We start from the raw sequence: 26,959 nt of genomic DNA on the forward strand, positions 1-26,959 counted from the left end.
TATTCAACTTCAGGTTTTGTGTATCTTTTAATTAAAGTCACCAAATAAATAATTACATGTAAATGTAGAGATTAAAAAATAATATACGCTCACTTTAAAACGAGAAAATATTAATCACTTGTGTTATTTTAATTTGTTCTTAGGCAAATTCTAACCAGAGGATTTAAAACATTGGGAACATTTTTTAAAAACACACACACCCCTAGTAAAATCTGCTTTACCACACTGTTGCAAAGGTCTATCTTATTTTCCTCCAGAAGGATTTACCTAACATGCCTACTTCCTTTATACAATTTTTCTCTAGCTATTGAAATATCTATTTCTAATTTGACTTTTATAATTCACTTTAGCTAAAGGCAACATTTATAAAACCCATCCGTAAATCATTAATGGAAGCAACTTCCACCGACTGGAGAGGCATGAGTTCCTTCATATTCACTTTTTTAAAGCAAAACCTGTAATTCACAATTCCTCACAGCCCTTCTCCTTATCTAAGGGAAGGAGCATGTGTTAGATAATGCTGAACTACATACACTGTGTCAGTTTCCGAAGAGTTAACACTGCTGGCCCCATCCATCAGATGGCCAGCGAAGCATCAGGAAAGAATGATGGATGTAAAATTATTACAGGGCTGCCATCCGATACACTTACTGCCATTTGTAACTAATGCTGGGAATGACACACTTTTTTTTATTATTAAACATCCACATTAAGTCAACATTGGTCACTGTCATTTCATGTTTGGCACTCTGTTAAAGGGAAAGAAAAGGGTTGGACAATGGCAGGAAAGAGGTGGTTGTAATGGACGAGTTTCCAAGTGCCAGACAAACAAAACTAACCTTTACTTACAATCAGCCTATATAGTCTGTGGTAAGGCTTCTTATGAATATGACTCAGAAAGGGTCAAAAATGAAACTACTGTCATTATTGAGTAAATTCTTAATTAAAATATACATGTTATTTACCAAATTTCCATCTTATTTGACAGAAAATTACAAAGAATTTTCACTAAAGCTCAGCAGAAAAAGGAAGACATTTTTCCAGCTATGATTTATAATGACAGATGAATTCATAGCATGCATTATATGTTTATATTCCAGGTACACTGTAGGCAATTAATGTTCAGTGAATAAATTCTCTGCCTTAAGAGATATATGCACACATATGCATGCTTATTTTTGTGAGTGACATCTGTTTTACATAAGAAAAGAAATACAGAAGTTGGTCTTAACATGTATACGGTGTGTATGTGAATATACGTTTATAGATTTAACCTGTTATCAAGCAACGTCTTCTTGTGCACATGCTTCTGTGTCATTCAATTCTTTGTGAACCCCAGACAAGGTATAAGAACCTGGACATGGGCCAGGCACATTGGCTCATGCCTGTCATCCCAGCGCTTTGGGAGGCCAAGGCGGGCGGATCATGAGGTCAGGAGATTGAGACCATCCTGGCGACCATGGTGAAACCTTGCCTCTACTGAAAATACAAAAAAATTAGCCAGGCGTTGTGGCACACGCCTGTAGTCCCAGCTACTAGCGAGGGTGAGGCAGAGGAATCGCTTGAACCCTGGAGGCGGAGCTTGCAGTGAGCCAGGATCGCGCCATTGCACTCCAGCCTGGGTGACAGAGCGAGACTCCGCCTCAAAAAAAAAAAAAAAAGACCCTGGACATGTAAGAGTGGAAGGGCAAAAGATAGATAGATGGTAACAATTATAAGACAAACAAAACAAACCAGTTTCATGAAGGAAATATTTGAGAGCTTTGATGTCATTTTTGTAATATGCCTGTGGCTGACAATCGCCTGTTCCTACCCAGTAGCCATTGCCCTTCTTTCCTTCCCAGCTAACATTACCTTTGATCTGAAGATATCCCCTGATCTCAGAGAAGACAGGATTAGCTCTCTAATTTAGTGGTAAAAAATAATTCATGATCAATTTAAAGTAGTCTCTTTTCCTTTGGCCAGTAATGGTCTTAAAGATGTTCATATAACCCAGTTCTAGCCAATGAGATGTTTGTGGAAGTCAGCTTGAGAAGAGGAATGAAATACCCCCGTATGAATGAAGACTGAAGTTAGCAAAGAGAAAATGACTTCTCCTTCCTGAATCTGCCTGCCTTCGTGGGGATGGGATAGCTGTAGGTGCAGCAACCATTTTGTGACCCAAAGGGAAAAGACAAGAGAATCACAGATTTCAACTCTGATATCAAGTTGATGAACTCATGCCACCAACCTCCTAGTCCTGAGCTTCAATTATGTGATAAAAATGAATCACTACTTTTTTATTTTTTTGAGACGGAGTTCCGCTTTTGTCGCCCAGGCTGGAGTGCAATGGCGTGATCCTGGCTCACCGCAACCTCTGCCTCCCAGGTTCAAGTGATTCTCCTGCCTCAGCCTCTTGAGTAGCTGGGATTACAGGCTTGCGCCACCACACCTGGCTAATTTTGTATTTTTTAGTAGAGACGGGGTTTCTCCGTATTGGTCAGGCTGGTCTCAAACTCCTGACCTCAGGTGATCCGCCTGCCTCAGCCTCCCAAAGTGCTGGGATGAGAGGTGTGAGCCACCGTGCCCGGCCATGAATCACTATCTAAGCTACTACATTCAGGTTTCCTGATACATGTAGCGAAACTCGTTCCTAACAGCTATGACAGTAAAGGCACAGTCTTCCCAGGTTAAGTATATATGGAGTGAGTGACACAAACGGAAAAGCTTCTGGTCTGTTTCTCATTTCGGCTGAGTGCACTGGGCCTCTATTGTATTAAGACTGTCTGGTGGGATCAGGACAACAAAAACTGAGCTTTTTATAATCTCTTATTAATATGGATACTTTCAAACACAAGCTCAAGAATCTGTACTTGACTCTATGAACAAAGTTGTGCCATCTGGGTGGTAATGAAGCAAAGTGTGTTTTTTACAAAACAAAATATGAGAGGCTTCTTTCTGTTCCTTCATACCTGAGAAGCTCACTTTTTCACCCACAACACTAATCTGTGACAAAGCTGTGTGGCAAAAGATAACATTATTTGAATATACAATCAGTCTACAATTAACCAGAGATGACAATTATAAATAACACTGTGTCCCAGAGTTTCCAAGAAACCTGACACATACAGTTCTTGGGTATGATGAAACACTTCCAGGAAAAGTAAAGAAGTTAAAAAAAAATCTCTTAGAAGTCTTCCATTAAAATGTGTTTCGGTAAAAATGACTTTCATGATGTGTTTTGGTACATATCACTGAGAAATCATCAGTCCCTATCTTCACACCTCTAATTGTTTTCACTGTCCAATTACAGCTTTTCAGAATTAAGACCTTCTAGCTGGGATAACCACGTGGCTGGCTATTTGAGATATGAAGAAAAGTTAATGTGTATAAGGCTGTGTACCCAAGAAAACAGATCTCCACCACAAGATTTCAATCATCTGGAGCTCAGGTCATGATATCTTTTATGTTGATGTAAAGCACCCGGCTGAACTTCTTTTCTTTTTTTCCTTTCTCCCAGTTCCTTTCCCTCTTTCTTTCTGCTTTATCTCTCTCACTCCTTACCTTACACATATTTTCTGGGTTTGGGGAGTTAGGAGTGTTATTATTATTATTATTTGAGATGGAGTCTTGCCCTGTCGCCCAGGCTGGAGTACAATGGCGTGATCTCGGCTCACTGCAACCTCCGCCTCCAGGTTCAAGCTATTCTCCTGCCTCAGCCTCCTGAGTAGCTGGGATTACAGGCGTGCACCACCACACCCGGGTAATTTTTTGTATCTTTAGTAGAGACAAGGTTTCACCACGTTGGCCAGGCTGGTCTCGAGCTCCTGACCTCGTGATCCCCCCGCCTCGGCCTCCCAAAGTGCTGGGATTACAGGCGTTTGAGTCACCGTGCCTGGCCGGGAGTATTACTTTAGACAGAAAAAAATGCCCTTCTTTTGGGATTCAAGTGATATAAGATAATAGTGCAAAATGTAAGAGGAATTTATCATATATTTTTTATGTCTTTCACTAAACTCTATGGCAAAATTTCAAACCAATTACTAATCCACATATTTATTGGCCATAGATAATATTGAGTGATTATAAAACTCTAATAAAAAGATAAGTATTAGAAAAATAACACTATATGCATAGATATGTGGTTTATATGAGAGAAAACATATCTACCTTTGTCAACTCAAGGATGTAACTGATTTGACATGCTAAGCAATATGGAGTCTTTATTCAATTCCTATAGGTGGGCTCACACACATAAATATGTAATGAGTAGCAGTCAGATAATAATTTGATCCAAACTGTAAGTTCTATAAAGGCAGAGCTCATATTTTCTGGTTTAATACAATACCTCCAGTACCTACCACCGTCTCTAATACATAGCATGTGCTAATGTTGAATAATTACTAATTAAAAGATGTAAGTGTGACATTATTATCTCATTTTCATGATGTACACAGACATAGATTGATCATTAATATTCTAGAAATGACACCCAAGTTATTTCAACAGGAAAAGTCAACCACAAACTAGAGTAATACCTGCTTCAAAGAGTTTCAATAATCTCAATTTCATTTTCAGGTGTCAGAGTAACATAAGGGATGAGATAATTCAGATCCGTTGATTGAGGTTTCCTTTTATATTACAAGAGTTTGCCATACTACTACAATGATGAAACTACTTCATTTTCATAATTTAAGTTTTTCACTTAAAAACTCCTAAATTATAAGACCATAGTTCAAGATGTAACTCAACTGCATTGAAAGTACATGATGAAGAGATTCAGGAATGATGATCATCTTGAGAACAGAGACATCTTAACTGTCCAACAGGTTTTGGAAGGTATTATTTCAAAAATGGATTTTTTTAAAGTTGTTATAACTGTACAAAAGAGAAAGGAAAATTGAAGCAGTAGCTATCAACGGAGGCAACTCTCACTCCTGCAACCCAAGTAGGAGGTGCTAATCAGAGAAATAAAGTATGACTGTGGAGATGGAACGAGAAGTGGCAATAAGGTCCCCTAACAATGGACAAGTATGGAATAAAGTGAATGCAGATGGTTCCACTCCTGTTACTTAATCAAAAGGCTGTGCAGAGTCACTGAAGCCAGCATAAAGTCATGTGTTAGAACAACAGCTGATCTGTATTAGAGAAGATTAACTCACAGTGCCATGGTGGAAGGCCTAGGATTATTTTATGTACTTCCATTGCCTTACAAGCCGTCAGCGCAATTATTGCCCTCCGATGTGAATGACTGATCTGTAACCACAGCTAAACAGCACGCTGCTTAGGGGCCTAGGAGCTTCATGAAGATGAATTTCCATACCATCAAAGTACTTTTAATGGGCTCCCTGATCCAACCACAAGGCCTGCTTTGCAAGTATATAGAACTCAGGATGAAGGCTTCCTGTCCAAAAGGATTTGGTCGGTTGTCACTTGACAATTCCCAGCCAGCACTGGGGAAGAGAAGGGGGAGATAGGTAGAGTTGTCTCTGCTTTGGAGGATTAAAAAAAAAAAAAAAAAGGGTACAGATGCTTGCTGAATGCAACCAACTGCTGTATCCACAGCTGAATTCAATGCGCTTAACAAATAACGGCAATTTAGCTATGCTTGCGAGGAATAGCTTGAGTCACTTTGCATTAGCATCTGGCTGAGTGTTAAACTCATTTCTACGTGGGGAGCAGAGAAAAGGAATTTCTGTTCAAGCATCCTTTCAAGAATGTTTAAATATTTGAATATAAATTCCTTTATGCTTGCTATCATTCCTTCTTAGAACTGTCACTTTGCTTTCCCCCTTCCTTTTGGTGCTTAGCTATAAAAATGTGCCCTTCTCAGGACACCAATGTCATACGTCTTATGTTGTAACACTGCAAGGGATGTATACTGAGCTATCCTTTGCTCTCTCCCCTGGACACACGATAGAATTGAAATCGTTTCTCCATCCTTAATTTTTATCATATTAGGACCAGGGAAAGAGCAGTTGTGGCAGGATCACCCATACATTTCACCTTCCCTATGCAGATTGCCAGCTTCTTAGTGATTATACATCAAACTCCACATAAAACCTTGGAAACTAGAAAGCTATCCAAATTAGCAATCTGCTCATTCTGGACAAGTCTGTTTGACTCATAAGCTTCCCATTATGATTAACTTTCCAGTTATTGCTAAGTAGCTGATCATTTTTTCTCTTATCTACTGGATCAATTTATCTAGAGGATTCTGTAAAGCGCACTGGGTAACATTTTAAAATTTCAGTTCAAAACATATCAACTATTCCAACAGTACATAATTCTGAGGATTTTACAACTTATAATATTTTTCTAAATAAAACACCATGTAGGCTTAGACAAAAGGGCTTGAAATCATTGTCTCTCAGACAAATTCAGAAGTTTCACTGGCCTTAGTTATAATACAAATAACGTCAAAGTTTTTAATAAGTACATTTTGTTTTATGATAAAGTAAAAATTTCCAGTTGTGAACTCATCTAACACTTGACAGTGTTTTGCACTGGAAACATATTATGACAAGCTCAGGATCCTAAATACTTAGAATATGAGCATGGATATCATCCAAGCTTATGCTGATTAAAGAAGATTCAGCATTTCAAATCCAGCTCATCCCCAAATACAAGTTAAGCATCTCTGAAAAGCAAAACTTTTAGTCAGACTCAGATATTTCAAATGCCATTTTGTTTTAATACAAGCTGGTGGCGTAAAAGGGGATATTCATTGTCAATAAGGTTTGGAGATGGATCAAGAGAATTATAACTCTTTCTATTTCCAGATGGTTTTGATTAGGATGGCGATGAGGCCTTCTATATTAATGGAGGGAGAAAAGGGACAGAGAATCATTTTGAGGATGATAAGAAGATGGAAATATATTTTTTTTAAAAAAGCATTAGGCAATTTAATTAAGTATTTCTAGAAAGTAAGTTATTTTATGAACTGACCTTTTCTGTTCGGCAGTTATTGAGACCCAGACTATTCACAACAGCCACCTTCCCATCAAGCACCTGTTGTTCCCGTCGGAGTTGCTCCTTCATTTGCCGAGCTTCTTGGATTGCCTTGGTGACAGCATCATGGTCATTTAAGTAACCTGAACATGAGACAGATCAAAGGATATCTTTTGTATAAAAGCATGTCTAGGCTAGCGTTTAACCATAAAAATCACTTTTCTTGGTAATAGGTAGTGTCTGGCCTATAATGATTTCTCCATGGAATTTATCTAAAATGAATGAATGAATAATTGACAATGACTGATCCATATAGTCATACATAAACATGTTTCCAATATGTTCAAATATCTGTAATAAAAATATAATACCTAAGTGACATATGGTTGTTTCCAACTATTTTGAAAGAAGTTGAAAACCTAATTTTTAAGTAAATGCTTTAGTTATTATTCGAATATTATTTTGTAGTGCAAATATAAAACCCATTTTTAATTTTTTTTCCTGCAAGGAACATTTGAATTTTAGCACAGAATTTAGGTATTCATAATTATGACTATGATTATTGAGTCTCTCCTAGTATTAGAAAGGCCACATAAGAGGGTCTGTATAGCACTATTAAGTTTGTTATATACAGAAGAAATAAATCATTATTTGACGGAAGAGTATTTTCTTCCTAAAAATCCATTTATGGTGAAATAAACCACAGGTGGCAGTGGTTTGCTATTGATGCAAACTTGTAATAGTTAGGCTAAATTTCAAGCACAGAATGTAACCAAGCACCTGTAATTGTTTGATAAGAAATTGTGGCTACTCTTGACTATAGTCACACTTAATTCACACTCTTAATAAGATGGCCAAATGATCAGCTTATGTATGCAACTCCACAGTCCATGGTTAGTAATACACACTACCAAAATATTGCTGTTACAAAATAACAGGTGTAACAACCAAAACTAATTTTTACTTAATTTTATTTTTAACACTGGTCATTTATTTATTTGATGCATATTAGTACGATGATCTGCATGACATTAGACGTACGTTAGTACTGAGGGAAAAAGATTGTTTTGCAAATATTTAAAGAAAAGCTAATATCTCATCTTTCTCTCTCCCTATCTTTTAACTAGGGCATAAAATGGCATAAAATGAATCTGTAATACGAAACTGCCCAGAAAAGGGACTTGTTTGTGACACGAGGCTAAATCTAACCAGATCCATTGGTGAATTGTGACAGATGGAGGGACTGTGAGACAGAAGGCAGGCACTAATCACACATAAAATGACCGGCTTGCCTCAACATGTTCCATGGATTCCAGCAAACTTTACACCCTAATCCATTTTTAGAACAAAAAACATCTGGGCCATAAATCCTCTAATCTGCCAAAACACGCTATTAAATCCCATGATTTGTTGAAAAACACTAAGATTAAAGAAAGGAAATATAAAATGGCTAACTGCCGTGTTAGGAAAGTGTTATTAATACTCTTTGTCTCAATTATGAATGTTCTGGTACTAAGAGCCTTGTCTAATCATGTCAGATTACACATCCTTGTTGTATTGCTAGACTCTTCTATCTGATCTGCTGATTGCCAAAAAACATAGAATATGTTCTTGCTGCTTAAACGTTTCTATTGAAGAAACCGATGTCAGAAACTGATGTAGTACTTCAGTGCTGGCAGGTTTCTAAATGATCCATGCCTCTTCCCCTGTTAGTATGCGCAGAGTAGACCTGGTCCTCTGATCTCCTTGAGGCAGAAAGAAAAGTTCCAGTGTAGGCGATAGAAAAGGGAAGCTTGAGAGTGATTATATATTTTGCCTTTCAGAGCTAAATTCATTGGAACTTATTCAAAGAACAAAACATCTCTGCTCATTATAAACACAATAGTGAATTGAAAACAACTCTAAACCTAGAACAGATCTTCAGAGTTAATATTTACTGTAAAAGATGGTTGTATTTTATTATCCTCAACATCCTAATTTGGATCTCCTGTACATCATTCTTAATGTATAATTCTTGAACTTGTTCATGAACAATATTACTCTAGATAGAAATACAACTCTTACATGACCGTGATGGTCTTGGTATATGTTCATTTAGTAATATCTTAAGAGGATCAGTCTGATTTTCTTATGCTCTAACCCCTGTTTATACACAACCTGGCATCATACATTTTTGTAGTCTATTTAGCTTCTATGTAGTCTAATTAGCTTCTCCAGAACACAAATATATTTGAAATGGCTTGGCACATGGCACTGAATAAAAGCATGAATTCTTTATGCTTTTTAGGGACTGCCAAGATAACATTGTGTAGGAAAAATGATTAATATAGATGCAAGAGGAATGTAAATTATTATGAGGGGGAGTAACTGACAGACCTATGTTCTGTAATGGTTATTTCCAATTTGAGATGTGTGTTTCTGTGCAGGTAGAAATAACTGTTCACTTTAAAATAAACATTCTTGCTTTTAGAGACTCTTGAGTTTTAGTTATAATGCTGTATGAAATGTTAACATTTGTATCTGCTATGTTAAATCATAAAGCCATGTATATATGACAACATTCAATCTTAATATGATTGTTTGCTGGTTCTTTACAGTTTGTTCTCCTCATAGTCACCAAATCCTTAACCCTGCTGACTCCGTCTCCCTCAGCAAATGGCTTTGCCTCTGATTTTGCAAAGAGCAGCAAGGCTGAACTCTCACCTTCCTGACCCTACCCTCACTCTTACCTTCTGCTGGCTTAATTTATTTCCATTTATGCCTATTTTGCTCCTCCTGTTTCAATAAAAATGGTTCCTTGCTTTCAATCAAGGCAAATCTCCTAATAAGAGTTCTAGATTTCTATACGTCTTCATTGATAATTCTATTTCTCATTTATATCATCTATCTAATTGTCTCCACCATCTCTACCACCTCAACTTGTAGATACTTAAGGTTCTCTTTTCTCCGAAAACAAGCAAATAAAGTGTCTTCTTTAACCTTGTTTTGCCCTCTCTTTCCAACACTGTTTCTCTTTTTATCTTTGAAGTCAAGCTTCTCAAAGATACATTATCTCATAATCTCCCATTCCCTCCTTACTCTCCAGTTCTCAGTGCAATCTTGTTTCTGTTGCAATTGGTCTCTAGTTGTCGAATAAATCCAAAGGACATTTTCCATTTCTTGAGAGGGAATGACAGCATTGACCATCCTCTCTTTATTGAATCTCATTTTAGCATTGTTCCTTTTTCCTCACTGCCTCCTCTGTGTTGGTATCCCTGCCTGGGATCCTTCCTTCACCTAATCCTTAGATTTTGATTCAAGATGCCAATTATTAAAAAAGGATGTGTTTTGGAGCTGGGCAAGCCCGAATTAAAATCCTAGCTTTGACACTTACTAGGTATATAAATTACACAAGTTGTTTTACTGTTCTAAGTTGCAATTGTCTCTTCGGTTAAATAGGGATAACACTCACTAGATAACAGAAATGTCAAGATTAAGTGAGTAAATATCATCTTTTATCATAATAAATGGTCAATGAAAGCTATTCAGTAACTGTCACTTTATAAAATGGCATAGTAAAATAAGCAGAATTTGGAAATTGGATTCAACTGCATCTGGGATTTCCAGTTCTTGGTAAGTGTGATATTTGACAAATTTTAATGCTCAATCTAAGTTTTCACTTCCCTTAACTACAAAATGAAGGTAAAGCTGATGGAAGAATTAGATGAAATAACACATGTGAAGGAAGAGATAGCACTTGGTATCTGCAGAGGCAGGAAAAGATGTTAGACTCCTTTCTTTACTCTTTACACTTTCATTTTCCCTATATGTTCACTCTTAGCACTCTTATTAACATGGCTTTGACTATCATGATGAAATCTGTGAGGGGATGTCATTCCTTGGCGGGCACAGAGGTTCAGTTAAATGGGCGTCAGACCATAAAGGCCAAAGAGACATATAATGGTTATCTGATAGATACATTTTATTCTGCCTTCATTATAGATTCAAGCAACAATTGCATCTAAAGTCAGGATCAGATGGGAGGGCATGTGTATAGGAGAGGTTTGGTGAACCTCAGTCTTAAGAGGAAAATGAGATGGCAAAGGTCAATATAACTTCCAGTTAACATCTCAAATGAGATTTGGAAAATGTGGGTTAGAAATCATTAATGTAAGAAATTTGTGAGATTCTGTAACTTTGTTAAATTCACTATAATTTGATTTGATTTTTTTTTTTTTTTTTTTTTTGAAACAAGGTCTCACCCAGGCTGGAGTGCAGTGGCATGATCATAGCTCACTGCAACCTTGAACTTCTGGGCTCAAGCAATCATTCTGCCTCAGCCTCCTGAGTAGCTGGGACTATGGGCACTACTACCCCCAGTTACTTTTTAAGTTTTTGTAGAGATGGAGTCTTGCTATGTTGCCCAGGCTGGTCTAGAACTCCTGGATTCACACAATTCTCCTGCCTTGGCCTCCCAAAGTGCTAGGATTACAGGCATGAGCCACCATGCCTGGCCTGCAATTTGATGTTTTATGCTTCAGTGTTTCTTCTTAACCATTACCAAAAATATTCTCAAAATTTCTGTTTTTCTTAACTAAAAAGTCTCCTTATATATTTTTTTCAGAGGCAGAAAAGAAGGGACAAACTAGAAAGTCTAATTTTGGAGGAGATAAACTCTAAAAGGAAAGTAGTAATGGCTGCTATACAAGGAAAGAAAATAAAATACAAAACCACTTGTAATGGGTTGAATTGTGTCTGCCCAAAAGATATATCCAAGTCCTAAACTTAATTATCTGTGACTCTGGCCTCTTTTGAAAACAAGGTCTTTGAAGATGTAATTAAGGATCTCAAGGTGAGATCACCCTGAAATTAGGCTGGGCCATAAATCCAATAACCGGTTGCCTTATAAGAGGAGAGAGATTTGACCCATAGAAATAGGGGAGAAAGCCAAGTGAATATGCAGGCAGAGATTGGAGTTATGCATCTATGAGCCAGGACTGTCAGCAGTATTGAGGCATGGAACAGGTTCTCATTCAGAGCTTCCAGAAGGAACCCACCCTGCTGACACCTTGACTTCAGATTTCTAGGCCCTGAATAGCAAGAGAATAAATTTCTGTTTCAACCCACCCAGTTTACAGTAATTTGTAATGGCAGCTCTAGGAAACCAATATGCCACCCTTGGTCTTTACCATGTCTCTAAGAATTGAGAAATGATCCCAAGAACTGTAAAATAACTACTGCTTGCCTCAAACCCTTCCAGATTGCCAGATACATGTATCTGTTTATTGACTAAGCTTCTCTACTTGAATGTCCCATGAGTACCTGATATGCAGCATGTCTGGCACAGAATTCATCATCTTTCCATGGCCTCAGTCCCCTCTTTCTATATTCCATAGACCTTGTCAGTTGCCCTTCCGATTCTTGGGAGTAATTTAAGGTCTCTCCTTTACCCTCTAAAGATACAAGGCAGGCAAACCCTGACAGTTTCACTTCTTCCTCGCTCTCAAATTTGCTTCTCCATCCTCTGCTTTCATGAAAGCCACCTGATATCTCACTATGCCTTGGCCTCCTAACTGGTTTTCCTATCTTTAGGCTTACACTCTTTGAATTCATGTCTATTCTCTTTCCAGATAAAGCATTTAAGAATATCTCAAAAAAAAAAAAAAATGCCGGGCATGGTGGCACATGCCTCTAATCCCAGCACTTTGGGAGGCTGAGGCGAGTAGATCACTTGACCTTAGGAGTTCAAAATCAGCCTGGGCAACATGGTGAAATCCCATCTCTACAAAAAAACACAAAAAATTAGTGGAGCATGGTGGTGCTTGCCTGTAGTCCCAGCTACTTGGGGGGCTGAGGCAGAGAACTGCTTGAGCCTGGGAGGTAGAGGCTTCAATGAGCCATGTTCACCTGCCACTGCACTTCAGCTTGGGTGACAAAGCAAGACTCTGTCTAAAGACAAAAATAAAAATATCTATTTATCTCTCTATCTATGTATATTTAAAAAAATTGATGTCAACATCCCTGATTACAAACCCTCCTCTGGTACCGTAGTGCTTCAAGAAACATTTCAAAAATAATGACCTGTAATAGCCCATGAAAAAATAATTCCATGTATAAGTGTAAGAAATACAAAATTAAAGTTAAAAAGGTTTAATTGCATGAGTTTTTAAAATCCTGAATATGTTAATGTGCATTGTGAGTCTTCAAGAGATCACAGTATGCAGCTTTTACTGGAACTTTTGAAACTCTTTAATGTTCCTGGAAAATCATCATTCTGAGATAAGTCCCAAACTCTTTCACAAGGCCTAAGAGTCTCCTCATGATGTCAACTCTGCTTATCTTTCCTGTGTCCCCTCTTGCCAGTCTCTCATGTGTCCTGCGTTTAAGCTGTACACAACATTCCCCCTTTTCCAAGGACAGGCCTTCATCCTTTCACTCCACACTCCTGTATCCCAAGTTTTTCTCTTTCGCTGAAAGGCTCTTTCTTTCTGGTGTGTTGGTGAATTTATTCAAACATCACCCCTTCTGTGAGAACTTCTCTTACATACCCTACACATGTTCTTTGACAAGATGAGTACTTCCCACACATGTGTTCCTTCAAAACCTTGTGAATGTTTTTAGTGTCCTATTGTCTTGCATTTGTCTTTCATAGTGGTCTATGGACTACTTAGCATTTTTTAGTACAATCTATTATTCCTTTGGCCCAGGGCAGGATCTGTTGAAGAAATAAATGCACATTCTAAGTTGAAAGTATCTGCCTTGATAATTCCAAATCTATTGATAATTTCTGTCTTCTTATCAATAGAAGCCTGGACCATATGGTACAGGTTTATTAAAATTCATGAATTTAACAGATGATATTAGTGCCACACAAATCTTATTTACTACGTATTTATTTTATATAGGAGTTGTAAGTAAAAGTAATGGCATATTTGTTTCCAGTGATTTTCAACAAATATATTTTTTTCTATTTTTGTGGTCATTGATCAGCATTACATTTTTGACACCCTGATAGGTAGACAATTTTTTTATCTGTGAAAGCTCACCGGAATTAGATAATACATGTGAAAGCAGTTTGCAAACTGTAAAGTGTTATGCAAATGTTAATTGTCAGATGTCTTTGAATGATATCTACAACTTCCTGATAATCCAATGGCTTTCCATGCATCACAATATTCTTGTTCATTCCTTCAATCACCTTCCTGCAAACAAGGTTTTTCTCATTAAAACCCTTGTATAAATTTTGCTTATTAAAAACCTGGGCATGGTGACTCATACCTGTAATCCCAGCACTTTGGGGGGCTGACGTGGGCGAATCCCTTGAGTCCAGGAGTATGAGGCCAGACTGGACAACATGAGAAAACCCATCTCTAAAAAAATACAAAAATTGGTCGGGTGTGGTGGCTCACACCTGTAATCCCAGCACTTTGGGAGGCCCAGGCAGGCGGATCACGAGGTCAGGAGATCGAGACCATCCTGGATAACATGGTGAAGCCCTGTCCCTAATAAAAATTCAAAAAAATTAGCCGGGCGTGGTGGCAGGTGCCTATAGTCCCAGCTACTCTGGAGGCTGAGACAGGGGAATGGCGTGAACCCAGGAGGCGGAGCTTGCAGTGAGCCAAGATTGCGCCACTGCACTCCAGCCTGGGCTACAGAGCAAGACTCCAACTCAAAAAAAAAAAAAAAAAAAAATATATATATATATATATATATATATATATATATATATATATATATATATATATTTTCATATTTTTGTATTTTTGGTGGTACATGCCTGTAGTCCTAGCTACTTGGGAGGCTCAGGTGGGAGGATCATTTGAGTCCAGGAGGTGGAGGTTGCAGTGAGCCAACCACTACACTCCAGCCACCACACTCCAGCCGGGACAACAGAAAGAGTAAGTTCCTGTCTCAAATAATAATAATAATAATAAATAAATAAAATAAAAATGTAAACTAACAAACTTTCAAAATAATATCCTCCTTTAAGTCATCGTGTCTTAACCTGGCATGTTGTACAACTCAAGTAGCCAATTAATGGACTTGGAAATATTGCCCTTTGTTTTACTGGGTCAATTTGCATTTACTACATTTGCTCAGGTATAGTTTTAGTTTTCATGCGTTAATGCCTCTGAGGAATGAAGGCTAAGAACAGTACATTCCAATATGTCCCAAAGATATGCTAGGAAAAAGACTGTAGGCACCTAAAGTCTCAGTCAAAGGCTGTTGTCTGCTTATCCTCCAGACTAAGCAAAACGTATGGCAAAGGAAGAGTATTTAAATCTCATTTATTGTATGGATGAGTAAAATGATAAATGGCCGAGAAGAGCATCTAATGCAGAGTGGCTACCAAAAGGCAACAACTAAAAAGAATGAACACCAACCAATAGATCATGGTTATAAGGCTCCAAAATCCATTGGCTCTAAGTCTGGATAAGTTACTAGATTTTTATGTACATTTATTTCCTTAAAATTAAAGCTGAGGTAATAAATATAGAATCATAGAACTGTCTACGCTCTGACAAAAAATTACTTCAAATCCCTAGGTAGACACACAGGCTCTTTAGGTCTGTGTTCCCTATCTGCTAAATAACAAGCTTTGACTAGATTATATGGATATCTACTCCATCTAGTTAAGGGTCTATAATTGTAGAACAGCTGCAGTGAGAAAATAGATGAAAAAACTGCTTTGAAAAAAAAGTTAAAAGTGCTATACATATGTTCGATATAGGTGGAAAAAGCCAATAAGGGAAAGATAACATCTGGTCAAAAGATTCTAAAATTATCCATCATTCTTCTGAACTATTCATACCTTTTAAGGATCTCCTTCCTTTGGAGCTGCCTATCATTTGCGTACCATATCAAAAGCATTCTTATAGAATACACTGTAATATTGGTCACCAACCTCAAAAAGTCACTTTCTATATTTGTAGCTAATAGATATATAGCAAAGAGCCCCATGTGATTAACGATAACTTAAGTCATCTTTCAGTCCACAGTCTTCTGTGGTTTAATAATGGCATCACACATTAATTCTTCTTTCAGGAGTGACCTTTACAACACCATTAATCCTCACAGCTTTTATCCAACTACATTATTACTCATTAAAGTTTCAGCTTTCAACATCTGCATTTGTTGAAAAGAGAAAAGTAAATTGTAGTAGACTTAAATCCTTGGAAATTATGAGGGATGTGTATGTGGTGAAAGGACTTTTCAGAAAAAAAAAAAAGAGATGTTTTAGTAGTGGGGAAAGTCATGATAAATGACGTTAAGTATGTTCTTGCCTTTCTAAAATACTTTCCCATGCTTAATCTTTGGGAATGCTAAAGAAAAAATATTCATACATGATACAAATAAAAACATATTAGTTATTCTACTAGTCACATATTCCAGTTCTAACAACATCACAAAAGTTGCTCATGTACTAACACTATGACATTTATAAGCCTACATGTATATTATGATAGTGAATGATTCTTGCCAAATAAAATATTTTTTCTTTTACATAGTACATGAAAGTAAATCTAATCTTGGAGCTCATTTAGGATGCTGAGCAGAGTAACTGGAGTTAGACTATAAGATGAAAAAGCACACATGTGTCTGAAACCTTTTTCAAACTTCTCAAAGCTTCAGTTTTCACTGTTCCTCTTTTCACTGTGGCCCCACTGCCCAGACTGAATTCCTCTTAACAAATAATCTGGAATTCTTCTTTGTGGAGATTAAAGCATTTGATACACACTCCTTCAGACTTCATTCTGATCATTCCAAAATTTCTCTGAAATGTTACCATTTATCTCTTCCTTTCCTTCAGTCTCAGGAAGAAGAAAAGTTTTTCTCCTTTACAAGGGTTAATCCCTTCCCATCACTTTTCATATCTATACATGTCTTTTGCACTTTTTCATATCTATACATGTCTCTAACTCTTCTTCCTCTCCCCCCTTGAAGAGTAATATACATATTCCTATTTTAAAACCTGTCTCTACTTAGCCTTCTCAAACTATTATCACTTCCCAACACCAAACTTAGAAAAAGATGAGTTTATATCACCAAATTAACTTTATTTCTTCATATTCTTCCGCTCTGTATAACTGGAAATCTATTCAAACCATTCATTAAAACTTCTCTGTCAGTCTACCTGTCCATGAACTCCAAATCCTAAGGCTCTTATTCTTCATGTTCTTTAATTGTCCTGCAGAAGGTGCACTATTAAATAATCCCTCTTTTTTGAAACTTCGTTTTCCTAGGCTAGTATGACATTACCCTGTCTTCACTCTTATTCTAAAATACCCACTTGCTCTTCATTCTTATTCTAAGACACTCAACTTACTCTTCATCAGTTTTGCATCTAAAAAAAGTGTAGTTGTTCTAAAATATGTTCAAAGATACTTTTATACTCTCTACTTCAGTTGGAGCCTAATTCTCCTTGCCTTGAGTTGGGCTGGACTTAATGATTCTCTTATAAGAAACAGAATAAAGCAGAATTGCCTCTGGATGAACTTGGAGAACAGGTTATTTCGTGATATAAACTGTGCCTTTTTCTTTGTTCTTCCCTTGGATCACTCATTCAGGAAGGTTCACTGTCATGCTACAAGCAGCCCTAGGGACAGGCCTATGTGGCAAAGAACCGAGACCACCAGAAAACAGATAATAATAAATGTTAAACAATAAATAATAATAAATGAGACAGTAAATATTGGTTGTTTTCTACTTCTAAGTTTTAGGTTAATTTGTTACACAGCAATAAATAATATATTAGTTATCTATATTATAATATTAATATCAGTTATCTATCTATTAGTATCTAATGCAATACCAGCTGCTAAGTTTTAGGTTAATCTGTTACACAGCAATAAATAATACATTAGTTATCTATATTATAGTATTAATATTAGTTATTTATCTATTAGTATCTAATGCAATACCTATGATTCTTCACTCCACTTCTTTTCTTACCACACACAGCCTTTTTTGGTGGACTTATTTGCTCTCCTGAGTTCAACCACCTCATCATGGAATAATTTCCATATCTAAAATTCTAGCACATCTTTTACCGATGAGGCTCGTATTTCCAGCTTCTTCCTGAACACCTCTACCTAGATAGTTCCTTGTGCTGCAAATTCAACACATATTACATTTTTATTTCTTCTCCCAAACCTGCTCCAATTCTGGGCTCCCCTTTCATTGTTAATAGAGGCATAATAATCCTTGTTATTTCATAAATTCAAAATTCTAGTTTCCTGTCTACAACTTGACCTTTACCAGATACATTCTATTGTGACTGAATTATGTCAATTCTTCCTTGATTAATCTTTTTAATCCATTCTCTCCTTTATCATTGTTTATTTGTATCTCATGTAACTTATTCTTGTCCTACATGTAAACAATGGTTTCCTGAATTCCAACATCATTCTGCCATCTGATCCTTTCAGTTTTAGCTCTGATCACTTTCCACCACACATTTTTTTCTACAATCTAGACAAATCAGTGCATTTCTCAAAAATATGCTATTTCACTTTGTGATTTTTTTCTTACTGCCTAGAATGCCTAGGAATCTATCTCTTCTTCAAGGCTCAGTTTGAATTAGGATATATCTAACTCATACTTTTCTGTAGTCCTTCCCAGACAGAATCCAACACTCTCCTCTCTTTGTAGAACTTTATCTGTGCTCTGCAACAGCGCTTATTATAGCTGACTTATACCATAGAATGAATGACTCTCCCTTAACTAAACCATGAGCTCCTTGAGGGCTGGCCTCCTTAAAAATTGAATAAAAATAATACAAATATCAATAAACCTGTGTTGAAATCAGTATCTGCAGTCTGATTTATGTATGCTGAAATTAAAATCATTGACTTTTTCAAAGTCAGCTTATAGAAGTGTTTTCTACTATTTTGTTTATGCTACTGAATTTACAATTATATAGAATTGAAGCTATCCACTCTTTATAATACTTTGGTGTTTGCAAGTAATCCTCAAACAGAACGAAACTGAACAAACTTCACATCCTTATGGTTGATTGATGATAGAGGCAAAATGCATTTCATCATAATGTATACTTTGTGCAATTCACAAAAAAAATGGAAATTTCAGTGATGCAAAAAGTAAGTCACCTAACAATAACATTCTGGAACCATCATTGCTCACTGCGATTAGTCACTTAGTCCTCTTTTTATATTGTATGGACATAGTTAGAAATATAGATATAACCTACACAATTAGATTTTCAGGAGGGCATTATAACTTAGACTTTAGTGAGAAATTTCATTTACATGTTTAAAACGGACCTAGGTGGTTCCTCAAATTGAAGCTGTCCTATAGAATTCAAGCCGTGTATAGAGTGGGTGTGATGTGCCATTTAAAGATGATTCCATTCAATAGCCATAAACAGAAAATCAGCAAGAACAAAAGAAACAGAACTTACCTATTGTGCTAACTCTGGCTGAAGGACTAGCTAACGCTGCTGGGACAGAGGCTTTGAGGGGGCCTGCCCCACTGTTTATTCTCAGAGCTGGCATATGGGGAGAGGTGGGTGATGTGGGTGATTTGCCATCAGAGGTCTTGGGTTTAGCTGATAGGTTCAGTGGCTGTGCCACTTCATCCTGCAATGATCATTAGAACATGAGCTGTGATAAGGAAAGGCTGATAAAAAATGCCTAGAAAAACACAGGTATGCAGCCTGTCATTTCCCATCAAATTACTCTACCAATCAGTGATCTTAACATTCATTCTGAACATTACAGCATTTGCTTAGCTGTCAACATAATGCCTCCTTCAACTATACATTCAAAATACCTTTTGTATAAGAGAAAGTACATGTGTACTCAACTACCCACAGAAAGCAGATAATTTTTGTAACCTGTAAGAAATATTCTTAAAAAGCTACTCTTTGTGCTATATTCATTTGTATTGAGAGATATTACACATTAAATCTGAAATATGATGTAGGTAGGTTTTTTTTTTAATCTCCAAAGAAAAGGGGTTGGATCTGATGCATCTTTGTACCCTGGTACCTAGGCAGAGCACCTGGAACACCCATGATGGAGGACCACAGATAGTTGTGTGCCTCTGATCAGAACTGCTCTCCAAATTCAACACGCACACACAAGAAAATTTCTAGCTTTCTTAGAAAATAATCCTTTCTCCCTAGGTTTCACAGAAACACCTTTGAATTTGATCTAAAAATGAAAATAAACATAATTAACATCACCCTACTATGTGCAACTTATTTATATGTCATACTGTTCTAAACACTAAACAAACACCATGTTTTCAAAATCCAGATGTGTTTTCTAGGTTTCTCTTTCAGTACCTGGTTTCTCTTATACTATATGTGTCACGAAGATCATGTGATCAGTTCAGCATGGTTGATGATTTCCAGCTGTTCTATGGTTTGACAGGTCAAAACACAGTTTATACTCAATTTTAAATCGTTCTCTTAGGTAATTTCATACATGAGACTTATAGATACAGTATCATTAAAATTTATATTACATCATATAAGAATATAAGAATGAGATAATATTAACATTATATCACTTTTTAAATTGGAAATTGAAAAAGTTATTTTGTTCCTTTCGTGTGCTCTAAAATTGGAATATCTTACCACTTGTTTATTTATCAACGTTTACAATATATCTAATTTTACATTAATATTATTGTAGAATAAAAATTTAGTTTCCACGTAGCTATTTCACGAGTTAAGAACATAAAATATTTACCAATAACAGGATTTGTTGAAAGTAGAAAAATTTTTAATCAAATGGGGTAGTCAGGTGACATTAAAGTATATGTTAATTACTGTATACAAAAATTTAATGCACAGTCCTACCAAAAGAACCACTGAAATAAATCATTTTATGAAATGGTTAAATGGTAAAATATGACATCGATATCAAGTTTATATATATATATACACACACACACACACACACACACACATATATATATATATATTTTTTTTTTTTTTTTTTTTTGAGATGGAGTCTTGCTCTGTTGCCCAGGCTGGAGTGCAGTGGTGCAATCTCGGCTCATCGTGATCTCCGCCTGCCACTTCAAGTGATTCTCCTGCCTCAGCCTCCTGAGTAGCTGGGACACTACTACGTGGTGCACACCACCACGTCCGGCTAATTTTTGTATTTTTAGTAGAGACAGGGTTTCACCATGTTGGCCAGCTAGTCTTGAACTCCTGACCTCAAGTGATCTGCCTGCGTTGGCCTCCCAAAGTGCTGGGATTACAGGCATGAGCCATGGCGCCTGGCCTCAAGTCTATATTTTTAAGTGGCTTAATATTATTAGATTATTATTTGATTCTGTGGTTATGTGCACTTAAGAATCCCATGAACAGACTAGGAAAAAGTTACCTTTGTAATAGATCTTATTTCAGTTTATATTGTCTGTTTCAGAAAAAAAAAATTGAAAATTCATGAGACAATTCAAATTAGCAATCTTCTATGATGTCAGATAAGTAAGAAATTAAAGACTATTATACCAAATCTATATTGATTCATAAGATCTTGACAGGAAGTGAAATAATTCCATCACTGATGCAACATTTAATTTGGAGAAGTTTACTTTAGCATTTTAAAAACTATAGGGGCAATGGCTGGGTGCAGTGGCTCACACCTGTAATCCCAGCACTTTGGGAGGCCAAGTCAGGCAGATCATGAGGTCAGGAGATTGAGACTATCCTGGCCAACACGGTGAAACTTTGTTTCTACTAAAAATACAAAAAATTAGCTGAGCATGGTGGCATGCACCTGTAGTCTCAGCTACTCAGGAGGCTAAGGCAGGAGAATCACCTGAACCCGGGAGGCGGAGGCTGCAGTGAGTTAGATCGTGCCACTGCACTCCAGCCTGCGCAACAGAGTGAGACTGTGTCAAAAAAAAAAAAAAAAAAAAAAAAAAAAAAAAACTATAGGGGCAATATTATCCCTAATTGTTCAATCTGAAACATGACCTGTTCAACCATAATCTATATATATGATGTCATAATTGGCAGCAATATGGAAGTATTGTGTCCTCACATTTTAATCTAGTATGAATGAATACTTCTCAACATGTGGCTCACAGACTAGCACCATAAGCACACCTGGGAACTTGTTAGAAAGGCAAATTCTCTATCATAGAAACTATGGGGATGGGTCCCAGCAACCTGTGTTTAACAAGCCTTCATTCCCAGGTGATTCTGATGCACACTCAAGTGTAAGAGCCACTGCCTCGTATATTAAAATAAAGGGGGACTATTGAAAAAGTTTTATTAGACTTCCAAAAGCCTTTAAAAAGCTTCTTCTGTATAAGAAGATAACATTTAAAAATATGTAATATTACCTCAGTGTTTAAAATATAATTGGGACATATCACATGCTAATAATGGAAACACTCATATGCATAATAAATTGAATGTTACTGAGATTCCATGAGAAAATAAAGATTAGAATCCAGATCTACTCTTGGTCAATTAAGCCTAAATGTCCTGACTGTCAGGGACTTTACTATTTACTACCCAGCTGTAAATATTCCAGGCACTGTTTTCCCCTAGCAATATACTACCTGTTTACTACCTTCTGTGTGAAACTGACTTCTGTCATGATGCCTTTAGAACTTCTTTTTGACATCATCATAACTCTTGCAAAAGTTTTGGGAGATGCTTGGATCAAAGATGGCTGTTTTACTTGAATGTGAAGAGAAGAAAAAGAAACAAAACAAAGCAAAGCAAAGCAAAGCAAAGAAAAAGAAAGCAAAGAGAAAAGACTGTATTCCCAGAGTTGGAACAGGGAAGATATTTATGAGCACAGAGGAAACACAGTGTGAGTGTATAGTGAGGGGGGAATGGCGGTATTGATGAAGATGATGTGGATGTGGGTGCTCATGGGATGAAGTGTCATATGTCTTAGCTTTAAGCACTAATAACTATTACATGCCCATGCTGAAAGATAACTATTCAAAGCATTTATTAGAGCAAGAGACCCACTGAAACTCTTAGTATTCACCTACATTCAAGGCAGCACAGATGTCTGAAAGCCAAAAAGTGCAAGGCCCCAAGGACATAACAGAGGTTGACAGTTCCAAAGTTGATATAAATGTCATTCAAAATTGCCCTTTCCTTCTCTTCCATTGTGTGACCAGGCTAATGGTATATTAATAAGAACTCACATTCTTGATCTTTATACTGGTAACTGTATAAATAATTTTGACCCATTATATGATATTATTTCGCAATTTTGTTCTTTTAATAATTTACTACTGAGCTGCTATACCAAATGCCTATTATTTATGAAGAATACAAAAATTACACTAGTTTCCCATTTTCTATTAATTATTTTTCATTTGACTAGATGAAAATTTAAAAATCTTAACTATAAAATGGACATGGACAATTTATTTCTGGCATGCATTCTTATAATATGAATATGTGCAATAAAAGCTGAAGGTAAGACTTCTCTTACTTTGTTTTTTACTTGTAATTTTATGTAGGAGAAATTCAAAAGCTTAACATGATTAACTCCTATTGTTACAAATAAAACACACATTTAAACATGTTAAATAAATTACTTACAAATAAAAGGATATGAGTAATTTTCAAGGTCAAAAATAATTGAAAAAGATACTATTTCTATCAACTACACCATCAAGCAGTGAGCAAAGCAATTTCCTGTTAATTACTTGCCTAATTGTTAAATGAGGTTGCCAATTGGAACTTTTGAAAATAACATATTTCATAATTATTTCATTTATACACAAAGTAAGAGTTAAGAATTTAGTTATCTGCCTAGTAGCTCCAAACTTGTATATCATAAATATAAAATAAGCATTTATGTTTAAGTAAATGTGTAAGCTAAACAAATTTTAACTAGTAGAAGGCTATAATTTACATTTATAGGGTTCATTATAAGTATTCCAAAGAGTTTATTTAATCTTCACGACTATGAAGTAATTACAAATCTTGTGGTGGAAAGTAAGGCTTAGAAAGTTCTAATGAAACCCAGGTTTTTGGACTCAACATACAATACTCTTTTAATTTCTGTGACAAATTTAATCTTAAATTTAAAAAGGCACTGATGGAATATAACTTCTGAAATTCAGTCCTAACTATATAATTCTGTTACACAATAACCACATGAAAGATAATATATGTGCAATAAAATGATGTAATACAAACATTTGCTATTCTATACATTAAAAAGTTAAGGCGCAAATTCACTTATCTTGGTGACTTTTTTTGTGCTTCTCTGACCTCTATGCTATATAGCATTGAAAATTTCCTTTAATGCTAAAGAGTGGTTTGGACTATTCTTTTAGAAAAATCCCAAGAGTTCATGTACACATGGTACAAGAAAATAATATTTTATATAATCAAATACAAGTCTTAGAAGCTCACTCATGATATAACTTCTTCTAATCAATTACTGGGCTAATTGTAGTTTTCTGGGATAGAATGCAAAGTAAGTAAAATCCAAATAAACATATAGGTCTGGGATGTTCCATTTACATAATTATAGCTACGATAACTTGTCTGAAAGCTAACATCTCAATACCAGTTTGTGGTCACAGTAGTAGAAACACTATAGAGGCCTTAATCAGTTAATCCCAGCCAATGAAAATTTGCAACAGATTAAAAAACCATTGCATAAAGAATGTGAAACAAATATGTAGCCTTAGACGCACTGAGGGAATACCAATTGTCACCATAAACTTATTCCACATAAACTTTACAAACACTATAAAATAAATATATAAAGTTACAATATATTTCATTTAGTTGGTTTTCAAATAACAATTTATCCTAGAAGAAAATATGTTACTGTAACATAATTGTATAATAGTCATAATTTTATAATGTACAAATACCAAATGATTTAGAGAAATCAAACATAATTTAACAAACAAAAAGCATTCTTAGCAATCCTGGGGTGTTATTTCTCTCTCCCCACTCCTTAGCTTTTCAAGTCTTTGTTAAGGAGTTTTAATAGAGAACTAGATAACAGAGATCCAATCATCCTGGAGAATTCTATTTGTTTCTGTTTCTCTATTCTTATCCTCACAACATGGAAATATACCCACATGTAGGTTGCTAGACCACAAAATGCACTACCAAGGACGTGCAAATGATTAAACCCTTCAGAATATAAATTTCATCTTTATTTACATCTTTATTCACATCTTTATTCATTCTCATTTTATCTAATTGATGATTTGGTTCATTCCATATCACAGGTATCTCAAAATTGCACTTCCTCAAATATTTACCTAAATTAATGATTGAAAATCAAAATTTATTTGGCAGTTAACATATTTATACCAGTCTAAAGGCAACAGATAAGAACAGATGCATTTATCCAATCATCCATACATTCATCCATATCTTATTTATCTAATGGTATTTCAGCTATTTATTAATGGCTATTATATGCCAGGCATTAGAAAAACATAAACCAAAGGACATTTAGGCATGTAGCTTTGAGGCTTTGGTTTTATGTGATCAGTAATAAAGAAAAGAAGTCCATTTACTTTTTATTTAAAACCTAGGTATAGATTTAAGTGGAAGTGTGTGTGTGTTTTTAAACTCCTTTGAGAACAGTTTGTCTTTATACTCAATATAATGTTTCATTTATAAAAACACTTTGATTCTTCAACAGCCACACAATGATTGAAAAAATATATATATATATATGTATAAATAAAATTTCAGGCTTCTTCCTCTGCATGATTTGAAAACTGTGATTGTCCCCATGTTTATCATAAATACTCATGTGAAATAAGTAGCAGTAATACCATATGGGGATGAGTAAAGGCATTCATGAAACATGTTGCAAAATTAATCATGCTGCTGCTATTATCCTCTCTGATGAAATGATCGTATTAACCTAAGTAGGGAAGTTACATGACAGCCTGAATTGCATAATGTGCACTGTTGCCGCACCTCTTCCCTAGCTTGTGTGCAGCACTCATCCTTTCTCTTTCGTCTTCTACCTCTATGGACTGTGGGAGCCCTCTTTCACCTCTCCTACCCAAATAAGGCATTTCTTCACTACAGCTCCATAGAGGTTTACTAGAAGAAACAAAACAAACAAGTATCATGAGGATCTATAAAGAGATGGAAGTGTACCTGCTGAGCAGAACTTAAAGGAGAAAAGGTTTATATTTACGTGCAAGAGTCAAAGTAACCTAAGATAAAAATAATTGCAACAATCTTAAAATTATTTTCTTAGTCTTCAAGGAATTAATAATCCTACTCGCGTAGCCATCCCAACTCCTTATTAGTAGGTTCCTAAAAATCAAGTCTATCATCTTACATAGCACATAGTCTTGAAACCCCTTTTCATGATCAGTTGCTTACTTTTAGACTTACAAATTGCAAAATGCCTTGTTAATCAGGCAGAAAGAGCTCCAGGAATTCTTTGATAGGTATGCTTTTGCTGTGTTAATGCTACCATTAGACTTGATGGCCATTTAAATGTAAGTCTTATTTAGCTGAGGGTAATATGTTCTAGCATCTCATTTGGCTTCCTTATTTGCCATTTTACACTTTTGCTTAATGTATACCTGCTTCTTTTAAAAGTAGATGCTAGTAGTGTGGTTGGGGACATGTTCTTCAATGTGGTAATTACATGTTTCTTTACATTTAATTTGCTGGCCCTTAATTAATTTAAAGGTATTCAAAGAGTACCCATCATTTTATTTGCTGTTTAAAATGCCCCCTGCTCATTTTCCCTTAGTATCTTAATATTTTCCTTGTTTTCCGACTTTGTTGAATTAATGCCTCGATGCTGTAAATTATACACGCAAGCACACACATATATTTGAAAACAAATAAAGAATAGTTTGGCTTCTGAAATATCAACTATACTTCACATTCACTTTTTAATTTCAAAAATTGCCTTGAATTAATCCAAATAGTGCCACACCATTCCTTTTTACATTTTCCTTCCTTCTCTTTTAATCTTTATTCTCCTTTCCCTTTAAGATCTCTAATTTAGCTTTTGAATTTTTCATTTTAGATTAACTCTCTATCTAATCTTACTTTTTATTTCCAAAATGTCCTATAAATATA

General features: G+C 35.9%; 1 protein-coding gene across 42 annotated transcripts in view; it reads right to left on the reverse strand.

Annotated features, from left to right (window-relative positions):
• Window positions 1–26,959, reverse strand: part of SOX5 (SRY-box transcription factor 5) — a 1,033,147-nt gene that overhangs the window by 26,827 nt on the left and 979,361 nt on the right. For 39 of the 42 annotated variants that reach the window (XM_024449159.2, XM_024449158.2, XM_047429458.1 and 36 more), the window contains 2 exons: window positions 19,331–19,508; window positions 6,928–7,073 (listed from right to left, as the gene is read on the reverse strand). The exons of 1 other annotated variant lie outside the window; for it this stretch is intronic. In XM_024449159.2, the coding sequence (XP_024304927.1) occupies window positions 6,928–7,073; window positions 19,331–19,508 (324 nt within the window). Of the gene's footprint in view, window positions 1–6,926; window positions 7,074–19,330; window positions 19,509–26,959 lie in introns of those variants that run through there. 2 more of the 42 variants (XM_017019903.2, XM_017019902.2) reach the window with 1 other exon arrangement.

This window comes from Homo sapiens, chromosome 12 (assembly GCF_000001405.40).
Source record: "Homo sapiens chromosome 12, GRCh38.p14 Primary Assembly".
NCBI lineage: Eukaryota > Metazoa > Chordata > Mammalia > Primates > Hominidae > Homo > Homo sapiens.